The following is a 12,136-nucleotide window of genomic DNA, read 5'->3' on the forward strand; positions in this document are numbered from 1 at the left end:
AATTAGAAAGAGGACACTATGTGGTTCAAATGCATAACACACAAACTGTGCGCTTCATTATTTAGATGGGGTAATATCAGGACACCAGGAAGTCAGGTTTATCTTCAAGGCATCTTGGATAAGGTAAAATTTGAACCAGATTTTTCTTAAAAAATTGTGTAAATACTTTGATTAAGATGGACAAGGACTTTCCATCCAAGAGAATAGCATGTATAAAGTAAATCACTAGCATAAAAATTTAGAGGTAAATGCAGATTGATCTAACATTGCTCTAGGCCCATTGAATATTTCTGAATACGATTTTTCAGTGTGTTAAATTTAACCAGATTGAAGATTTTAAGACCCATCCTAGTGAACAATTTTAAATGAAGGATTTGCTTTGTAATGAGGCATTTGCATTCAATCATAAATTTGGAATGCAACATCTTTAACTTGGTTATTTCTACTAGAATAGGTTCTTTGAGGGTATTATGCTTATCCTGTAGTAAAGACACAGATTCCTCAAAATTTATTTCAAGTGTAAAAGATGAGAGGAATACTTATTTATAGAGAAACCTGGAAAATATAGTACTTACAATAGCAAACTAAGAGTTGTGTAATAAAAATTTCAGAAATGCTATCACTAAACTATTTACAGAAGCTCCAGAGCGCTATTTTTGAAAGAAAGACAGAAACAGAAATTTTAGAAAAGTGATTCACAAGACTGAAGCTATTGATAGAGAAAAGCTGAAGTACTAAGGAACAGATGAGTCAGAAGCAAATTTAGGAGAAACACATCAAAGAAAGTCTTAAAAATTTATCATTTGGGAGGGACTATAATTCACTCTAGCTAGAAAAAGCAAAAAGAATAGAAGAAAGTACATTTACATAGAATTAAACTTAAATTAGCAAGTATTCTTAGGAATTTTTTAAACTGCCTACCTCTTCTTTTTTAAATAAAAGCTTCATTGAGATGTAATTTATATATAATAAAATTTGCCCTTTAAAATTTTTTAATCCAGTGGTTTTTAATATATTCACAGAGTTATGCAACTATCACCACTATCTAATTTTGGAACATTTTTATCATTCTCAAAAGAAACCCCATATCCATTGGCCGTTGTTCCCCATTTTTTCTCAATTTCAATGCCCCTGGCTTTGGCAACCAATAATCTACTTTTAATATCTGTGGAGGTACATATTCTGCATATTCTGGATATTTTATATAAATGAAATCACAAAATGTCTGGTCTTTTGTGACTGGTTATTTCTTCACTTAGCATGCTGTGGAGGTTCATCCGCGTTGTGGTGTGTATCAGTACTTCATTTCTTTTTACTGAATAACTTTCCATTGTATGGATACACCACATTTTCTTTATCTATTTATTAGTTAATGGACATTTGAGTTGTTCCTAGTTTTTAAAGCTTCACCACCTGATTCAAACCTTCAGGCCCAGGACATGTCACGGCATGTTTTGCTTCTTTATTCTGACAGAAAACAAAGTCATCAGAAACTTTATCTTCCATCTAACAAAACATTAACTCCTACAATATGGGCACCCACCCTATTTTCCTTGCTTCCTGTAATAATGGAAAAATGCTTCTTCTTTCTTTATTTTATTTATTTATTTATTTATTTTGAGAGGGAGTCTCACTCTGTCACCCAGGCTGGAGTGCAGTGGCGTGATCTCGGCTCATTGCAACCTTCGACTCCCTGGTTCAAGCGATTCTCCTGCCTCAGCCTCCCGAGTAGCTGGGATTACACACCATGCACCACCATGCCCAGCTAATTTTTGTATTTTTAGTAGAGATGGGGTTTCACCATGTTGGCTAGGATGGTCTCAATCTCCTGACCGTGTGATCCGCCCGCCTCAGCCTCCCAAAGTTCTGGGATTACAGGTGTGAGCCACCTTGCCTGGCCTTCTCTTTCTACATAAGAGTATTCCCCTGCACCTTGCAGTAGTCCCCCCTTATTCTGAGGGAAATAAATTTCAAGCATTTTAACCTGTGCTTTCCACGCATCCATCCAATCCCATGTCACCCTACCCTCTCCATCCTATGGCATCATATCCTGGATTCCAGAGAAACTTACAGTCTATCTATTCCCTCAGTGTGTTCAAACACAACTTGTCAATTAGTCCTTCCTCAATATTTTAATAAACCTTTCAACCCACTTCCCTTCTAGTAACTCCCTATATCTCTCTTCCTCATCTTATTAAACAGAATGGACATTTTTATCCTAATATATCTTGATTTCTCAACATTGTTTAATACATGTTTCTTCTTGAAAAGGTGTCTTCTCTTGACTTCCATGAAACAATAATCTTCTGTTTTACCTCCTACCTTTCTGATTTTCTCTTGTGTCTTTGTTTAGGCCCAGGTTCCTCTACCAAACCTTTATTTACTAAAGTTATTTAAAGTCCAAACTTAAACAAAGTCCTCATGTGAGTCTGATACATGAAAGGGATCTCGATCCAGACCCCAAGAGAGGGTTCTTGGATCTCATGCAAAAAATAATTAAGGGCAAGTCCATAGAGTAAAGTGAAAGTAAGTTTATTAGGAAGTAAAGGCATAAACGAAGGGCTACTTTTACAAATAAAAGAGTAAAAGAATGCTCCATAGATATAGCAGCCCCGAAGGCAGCTGGTTGCCAATTTTTATGGTTATTTCTTGATTATATGCTAAGCAAGGGGTGCATTATTCATGCCTCCCCTTTTTAGACAATATAGGGTAACTTTCTGACTTTGCCATGGCATTTGTAAACTGTTATGGCACTGGTGGAAGAGTAGCAGTGAGGACAACCAGAGGTCACTCATCATCATCTTGATTTTGGTGGGTTTTAGCCAGCTTCTTTATTGCAACCTGTTTTATCAACAAGGTCTTTATGACTGGTTATCTTGTGCCAACCTCCCGTCTCACCCTGTGACTTAGAATGTTTAACCATCTGGGAATGCAGCCCAGCAGGTCTCAGCCTCTGACAACTCTACCCTCTCCTCAGGCAATCACATCTATGCCCACAATTTCAATTCCCACCTACATATATTTGATTTCAAAATGTATATATCTAAAGCAGACTTTTTCACTTCTAATAAATTTTCTATTTTCACCTTTGAATCCCTAAGGTTTCAGGAGCTGAAAAGGGTCTGGATTTTACCCTACTTGAAAGATAACAGCTTTTCACAGTTTCATGGATGCTGACAGAAGACAGGATTTCTGGATCAGAGAAAGGCGGTGCAGTAGTCCCCTCTTAGCTGAGGAAAATACGTTTCAAGATGCCCAGTGGTTGCCTGAAATCACAGATAGTACCAAACTCTACCTATGCTATGTTTTCTCCTATGCATACACACCTATGGTAAAGTTGAAGTTATAAATTAGGCACAGTAAGAGATTAATAACAATGACTAATAATAAAACACAGCAATTATAACAATATACTGCAGTAAAAGTTGTGGGAACATTTTCTCCCGGAATGTCCATTTAATATTCATGAACCACAGTTAATGCCGGTAACTGAAACTGAAAACAAAACTTCAGGTAAGCGGGGAATACTGTATTACTCACAACAGAAATGGTAACCAGAGGGCCAGCATATCTGGGCCAGTTTTCCCCGTCTCAATTCACACGGGATGACAAAAGGGACCAAATGACACCTGCATAAGCAGTGAATTCTGTTAAAAAAGAGAAACCCAGGGCCAAGAATCTAGTACTTTTGGGCAAGCCACTAGCAAGTTTACTTTGCCCAGGGACTGAGTTACCTGGTAACCACACTCTCCTCACTCTGACCTATTCAGCTGCCTATGTGACAAGCAGAAGCTTTGTAACCTGGTGCACTCAGAAAGAATGGGCAGGGATGATCAAGGCTCCTGGCAGATGTCTCTTCCAGCATAAAGAACCTCAAATTCTCTATAACCCCAGAACATTGAATCTATATCTGTTTCCCAAAGTACTGTTTTTCTCTTCCATTGTAGAGTCTTTGCCAAGGTAGAATTCTTTCTATACCAGGAATTCAGTTTCCGCTGTGGCAGAATCAAATACATTTCAAGGTGATTTGTATTTGTCTCAAGAAGGTGGCATTAAAGTGAAAAAGTAGCTGAGAACAAGAAGAGGAAGGTTTAATGCAGTGGGGAAAAGGGAAAGCACACCTACAGCTCCCATTGAAAAATAGTTGTAAAGAAAATAGGCTATTGATTTAAATTGAAATCCATAAGCTATACCATTAATGTTTGTATTTTGTGCCCTGGCATTATGAAAATTACCTAGTGAATTGTTCCAGAGAGTTATCATTTCATTTCTTTCCCTATTTCCCAAATTGTTCATGCTTGTTCCTCACATCATTTCATAAACATATTCTCCATGAATAGCCTAAAAACAGTATGGGAAACATCCTGCCATTTTCTCCTTTCTGAAGAAAATCATTCTGACTCTAAATTTCCTCTGTGGTATCTCAAAGGTTAGCTTTGCTTTACCCCAGGCTAAGCTGTGGAAATGATTCATGAGCTTTTCCAACCTACTGTGACTCTTTCTACCCCCTGCCTTAAATATGGAACCCCGCATTGACTGTAAAACTTCACTGAGGCAAGGAAAGAATGTTAAGTTAATATACCTAGAAAGGCATGAGTCAAGGCAACTTGAAAGAATCCCCCATAATAATTCTTATGAAAATATACAAACCTAATCAACAATTCCCATTCAGAACTTGGCTACCTCTATCTTCCCAATGAGTTAACATCTAGTTTGCTGACAATGTGCTTAGCAGTCTTTTAGAAAGTTTACGTTAATGGTATAGTTTCTTTTTTTATTTTTCACTTACAAACTTGTAATTTTTCACCGAGGTCTAAGAATTTTACTAAATGATATATACGCAGTCATAAAATGTCCTTTTAATATTTGCTGTCATTTGTACATTTAAAAATAGGTCCTCTACTTTTACATTTCTACCTCAACTGCTTATACTAGCTACTATTTTACCTTTTTCTCTAGACTAAAATTGATATTGCCACCCCCCAGAGCATAACATGGCTTTACTAGCATTAAGACATAATTAAGAGACTGAATTCAGTGTTTCCTGGCTTTCTAATATTGGCTCTTTAAAATATAATTTAGTTATGAGGCTCTGCCCCTCAGGGGAAATACCAGTGACGACCAAATCAGTTTCTGGCAGTTACGTTTCAAATAACAGTGGGGTTTCTGTTTTCTGCCAGTCAAGAATCTTCCCTCAGATGCATCTTTTGTTAAAACCATGTAGGGGCAGAGTGTTGATTGACAATATAAAGTGTGATTCATTGATATGATGCCAGATCCATGTACAAACAACAAGAACATTGATTAGCAACTTCGTAATAGTTGAATTCAAATATTTGAATATTTTAACATATATGTAACTAAAATCATATATACACGCCTCTTGCCTAATGGTGAGCATATCCTGGCATTTGAGATAGAATGCGTTAATCATGGAGATCTAAGCTTTAGGGAAAAGTTTAATAAAGATAAAAGAGTGACTTGAATTTTATAAGGGAAGTATTTAGTAATTAAAGATACCACAGCTGCTAAAGATAATATAGTCATGAGATTTCATAATTATAAGGTCCTGGCATCCCTGCTTACAAACCTCACTCAATGGTAATATAATCATGCCCATTTGAGAATTGAAGAGATAAGAGAGTATGTGGTGTACAGCATCCATTACTAGAAGGTCTATTATTTCACAACAATGGAGGACCAGAATGATCTACAGCAGAGAGAATTTTTGTTTTGTCATTCAATAAACATGTCACATATTTCTGCAACCCAACTTTTCAAGCCACATCTGCTATATACATGTAGGGAAGATTCATTAATGCAATGTCAGGAGTACTCTAATAAAAATAAAATGTCTGTTCCTGGGAGCCACCAAGTGGCTGCACTTGTATATACCTCCCCAGTTAGTATAATTTAGTGTATTGGCAGGGTCCAGGGAGTATTTCATTACATTTGTTTCCTCTTCCTTCCTATTTGCCTCACTCTGTAAATAATCCCTTTAGACCATTTTTCTCAAGGATGTAGAGAGAGAACCAAATGGTATTTTCAGTCTCCATACATGTACAATTTGAGACACACTTTCTTCTGTACTATATGAGAATATACCAATGATGACATTCAAAAAGTGACATAATTTAGAGGCACAACATATAAACTTTATTTTGTATTAGAGAGGGTTTTTAACCCTATTTTAATTTTATGTTTTCTAACATTGGTTTCCAATTTACTTGCTTTTATCAGTTTTTTAATAATTATTTTAATCTGGTTTAAAAATACAATTTTTATTCAACCCTTGCTTACCAATAAACACCAGCAAAATATTATTATATAATTTCAACTCTTTCTTGGAATTCTATTTTCATTAAATGCTAAATAATAACCCTGCATTTTAAGTCAAATTAATTATATTCTGAGATCAAATTGATGGCTTTGCAAAAAACACATTGAAGTAAGTATCTACACAAGTAAACAATTAAGTGCATTAATTGAGATTCAGCATTCTGCAAAATATATGTGTCATATGCATATCTTGATATATTTCCTCTACAGCAATGTATATTTAATCAGTATTTCTCTAAAATAGAAAATAATCCACTAGATCCTCTGAAGGAGACCTGTGCCTTTCATACCAATAAATCACTGAATATATTTGACTACATAACTTATTTATTAGACTCTTAATTAACAAATTTTTTGACTATTGGATATTAATCATGACATATACTGGGCATGTTATGGATTTATATTCTGTAGTATTTAACAATTAAGGTAATTCATTTTCCCCACAGTATGATAACAATTATTTTAATGAAATCTGTAATATTGTGTTTTACTGTGCACTGTTAGCAATAACCTAAAGTTATTCTGGTATGTCTCAGGGGTTTATATAGACTTTCGTGAATCCACTCATTCAGTTTTCACCTCTGGGCCTTCTCTAGAAGTCTATGGAGATGGACTAGGGTTACATTCAACTCAGAGACATCACACTGGACTCAAAGTAGCTCTCCTCTCCAGTTTTGGGGTGCTTTCTAAGGCCATGTGCATCATGTCTGGGTTCTTCTTTCCTTAAATGTGTTCTCCCCAGAAAGATGCTATTTAGTCTCTTTTGAAAAAGGATTTCTGGCAGGGATATTCTACCAAGCCGAACTATTTTTGGATACCAGCTAAGTTTAAGCTAAGCTTTGCTATGTGAACTTCAGATAATTATCTTAAATTGCTGAATCTCATTTTAGAATGAAACGGTAGTACTACATGTTTCTAATTCTAATATATTTTCATATTATATGTAAGATCACATCAAGCATGATTATTATGTTTATTTAGCATTCATTTTTTGAGCATTGCCATGTGCCTAGCCTTGTTCTAGTTTCCAGTGACCCAAGGAGGGAAAAAGACCCTAAATTTGTGAAGCTTATTTTCTACTGTAGTCAGTACATTCCTACACCACAAAACAATTTTTTTTCCTCCAGATTCTTTCTAATTAAACATTTAGTCACCATAGCCTGTGCAAAAAAACACAAACAAAAAAACTCTGTTAACTGTAACCAATATTTCTTAATAGCTGCCCGTGAATGGGAAAGCTAACTTCAGATTTCACTTTGAAGTGGCAAAGCAAAACAAGAATATGTAAAAACAGACAAAAAAAGTTTATAAAACAATCACCCGCAGTGTAAAAAGAAGCCATGCCAAATACATTTGAATTCCAGAGTAATAGATATAGGTTTTGATTCAGCAACAAACAAAATCTCACATGTCAGAACATCAATAAATAAAATCCCTAGATACATATCAACCTTAATTTACGGAACCACGCTATACTGGAATGACACCCTGTGATCCATTTCATACATTTATTTAATATTTCAAAGAAGAATATAAGAATGTTATTAGCCTACTAAATTGTAAATGATAGATCTACAGTCTTGTTTTCACTTACCATACCCTATACATCTTGCTGACAGCTTACTTTTTGGAAGAGTTGGCTATGAATTACTCTTAAGCCTCTGAACTGTCTGATCCAAAGTTACTCTTCTATCTTCTCTTCCCTAGTGATAAAACATGTCTTTTTCTCAGGGGCCTCTTTTGTAAATTATAATTATTCTTATATAGTTCCCTTTGTTTTCTTGTTATTCCTTATTTCTCACATGGATGAGAAAGTGGAAGGATAGGTTATCATATATATTTAACATTTCCTGATATATAATATATCATATATATTTAACATTTACATTAGGTATATCTCCTAATGCTATCCCTCCCCCCTCCTCCCACCCCCCAGCAGGCCCCGGTATATGATGTTCCCCACCCTGTGTCCATGTGTTCTCATTGCTCAGTTCCCACCTATGAGTGAGAACATGCAGTGTTCAGTTTTCTGTCCTTGCGATAGTTTGCTCAGAATGATGGTTTCCAGCTTCATCCCAAATTTTAAAAATGCTAGCTATTAGAGACAATTTCAGAAACTATAGCCTCTGCTTATGAAAACTAGTGCCAAATCTCAGGGTTTAATTACTGTAAAATCTTCCCCAGCAGCAAATGAAGGAAATACATGCCATTGAATTCTGAGTTGAAATCTTTGAGTTCAGTCAATGTTTTCTGAAAATGAGCTCCTACAGGACCACCCACAACTGAATGCTTAGATTACATGTCATTGGACTCTGAGCCAAATGGCAAAGTCTAAGAATTAAATTATGCATAAATATGTAAATATAAATATGTATACACACATATACATATGTATACACACATATGCATATACATATACACTAAACTTATATGAGGACTTATAAAAGAAAATCCTAGTAAGTTCATGGCATAGGAGCTTTATTGTCACCCATAAAGCCTTCTCAAAATAGAGAGGAAAATGGAACATTCAGAAAAGTTAGGTGGTGGTTTCCAAGTGGCATTTATAGTAGATTTATAAATTAGAGAACCTTGTTTGGCAAAACAGTTGCTTAATATTCTGAAAATTCTACAAATACACTTTTTGTGAACATGTTTCTTTTGAAATCTGAGCAGAATTTTACAAGTTGAATTATTTTAAATGTAATTCTAAAAGACAGTTTTCATATCTTTTGGGCATTTCATTAATTGTAAAGGCTACCCATGCTTTATTTAAAATAATACTTAAGTTATATTTTACAGTGAATGTGTCAATGTGCCAAGTGACACCCACTGGTTTCTCTTTCCAGTAAACTTTCATGGGAGTTATATTTAATGACCCCGTTCATAAAAACAGGCTCCTTGCTGTCTGATAGAGTATTATTACTATGAATGAAGAGATTCCTTAAGTATTTAAAGCTATCCACAGATTTGCAAAGTGTCTGTTAAAAGCTGCTTTCATCTTTGCTTTTCTTTGGGAACTACCTTTTGTTGATGTTGTTCTTGTTGTTATAGTGGTTGTTGCTGTTAGTGTTCACTGAAGAAAACAAGCTCTTACAAACAAAAAAGCATGAACAAAAAGAAATAACTGGAGTGGGGGATGGACTCAGGCTTTTTTATGTGAGTTCTGTTCTCACTTCTACCACTATTTTCTTTTTATTTATTGAAATGATTCTGTAGCTCAGCAAGGGGAAAACAAAAGGCATGAAAATTCATTTAAGTACTCTCTTTTATTTATGTTAACATTTCATCATATGCTGTTTAACAATTTACTAAATGTTTATTATGCACAGAGTTGCATTCTCAAGAGAATAAATAAGTTTCTGTCAGCACTTCTTTTAAGAAATCCTATTTTGGTTGTGGATTTTAAAAATTCATGATAAACATTTCCTTCAGGAAGAAGCCGAGAAAGAAAATGCTTTGACACTGCTGATAAGTGAGCTTGTAACTAAAGAAATGGAAAACAAACACGTGCATAAATATTCACTGTGTGTATATGTGAAGGGAAAGAGGAGGGAGGGAGACAGGAAAAGAGAGAAGGAGAGAGGAAGAGAGAAAGAGATAAAGAGAGAGAGGGACAGAGCATGTGAAAGAGTGAGAGAATAAAAACATAATTAATTCCTGGATTTTATGATCTCCCTGATTGCTTCAGTGTTAACATTCCCACAGTTTGTCACCAGTCATACTTGCAAAATAGAAATAGAAAAGCACAGAGAATAGACTAGATGATGTCCAAGGTTCTCCCAGCTCCGAAGTTTTATTATTATATTAAGAAAAATATAGAATAGAAAATAAATGTCAAATAAATGTCAAAAGATGAAGAATGGCAATCTCTACTACTTTCATATATCCTACATCATTTGACTCATATGTGGAGATTATGTGTATATATATACACACACACACACACACACACACACACACACACACACACACATATATACATACATGAAATTTACCAGCACTAAGTTTTCATACTGAAAAATAAGAGAATTGGGTTGGAGGAAGAGTGACATTCTTGTCTTCCCTTCTTAATTATTTAATTTTTTAAAAGGAATGAGAACATTTATCAGTAGATTATTATTTGTCAGGCACTCTTAGAAGCACTATATTAACTTATTGATATTTTTGATAACCTTATAATGCAAGAGTATTATGATAGTATCCTGATTTTTTAGATGCACAGAATTCAAACATGAGCAGTTAAAACTTGCCAAAGTCACAGTGCCTCTAAGCAGCAGAGCAGGGTTTCTCAACCAAGTAGTCAGGTTCTGAGCTTATCCAGCACATCAATCTGTAACTACCCAGTGGGTTCTCTTTGCCTGCTGCCTAGACAGAGCTGATTTATCAAAACAGGGGGATTGCAATAGAGAAAGAGTTTAATACATGCAGAGCCGGCCTTATGAGAGACCAGTGTTTTATTATTACTCAAATCAGTCTCCCCGAAAATGCAGGAATAGGATTTTTTAAGGACAATTTAGTGGGTAGGGGGTCAGAAAATGGGTAGTGCTGATTGGTTGGGTCAGAGATGAAATCATAGAGAGTTGAAGCTGTCCTTTTGCACTGAGTCAGTTCCTGAGTGGAAGCCACAAGACCAGATGAGAATCTTGCAGCCTCTAGCTGCATGACTCCTAAACCATAATGTCTAATCTTGTAGCCAATTTGTTAGTCCTGCAAAGGCAGTCTAATCCCCAGGCAGGAGGGGATTTATTTGGGGAAAGGCTGTTATGGTCTTTATTTCAAAGCTAACCTATAAAGTAAGTTCCTCCAAAAGTTAGTTCGTCCTACACCCAGGAATGAACAAGGACAGCTGGGAGGTTAGAAGCAAGATGGAGTTGGTTAGGTCAGATCTCTTTCACTGTAATAGTTGCCTCAGTTATAATTTTTGCAAAGGTAGTTTCAAATCTAGCTCCACCTCTCCAAAGAAGATTGTGACATGACTCTCTCACTAACCACATGCAGATTTTGCTGTATAACCAAAATGTAACAAAGAGAAAGACATTTTTCTGTTTATATAAAATAGTTTTCTGAAGGTGAAACCAAAATAAACATCTTCTATAAGCCTTTGGTTCAGATATAACAGTTAATATCTTAATGAATATTCTTATAGTTACTTTTGGTTTTATAAAGCTTCACTGTAACTTATCGATATAGTGAGCATTTCTCAATGTCATTAAATCTTCATTGAGTGCATGCTTTTGAATGTTAATTTAATTGTGTCAAATTTATTTGATAATGGCTGCTTTTAAAACACATAAACATAGCTGGCTTACTGAATCTTGCTCAGAAGCTTCAGTTAAACATCTTTAAGTAATGAAATTAACCAATCTGTCTGCATTAGTTTTCTGTGCTGTGTAACAGGTTACCAGAAACTCAGTGGCTAAAAATTACATACATTTTTAATCAAATGGCTTGTATGGGTTAGGAGTCCAGACATGGCTTAGCTGAGTCATCTGCTCTGGGTCTTAAGGCTGCAGTCAAGGTGTCAGCAGGCTACATTCTTATCTGGGGGCTCAACTGGGAGAGAATCAGCTTTGAAGTTTCCTCAAGTTATTGGCAGTATTCATTTCCTTGCTGCTATTGATCAGATAGCTTCTGTTTCTTGCTAGCTGTGTGCCATAGGCTGCCTGGCCACAAAAGGTCATCTCATCTGTAGTTCCTTGCCCAGTGGCCATCTCCACAGGCAGTTCACAAGTCATGTGCTTTTTCAAGGCTAGAAAGAGTGAGAACCAGAACTAGCAAAAAGAGTCTTATATAA

The sequence above is a fragment of the Homo sapiens genome, chromosome 13, assembly GCF_000001405.40.
Source record: "Homo sapiens chromosome 13, GRCh38.p14 Primary Assembly".
Classification (NCBI taxonomy): domain Eukaryota; kingdom Metazoa; phylum Chordata; class Mammalia; order Primates; family Hominidae; genus Homo; species Homo sapiens.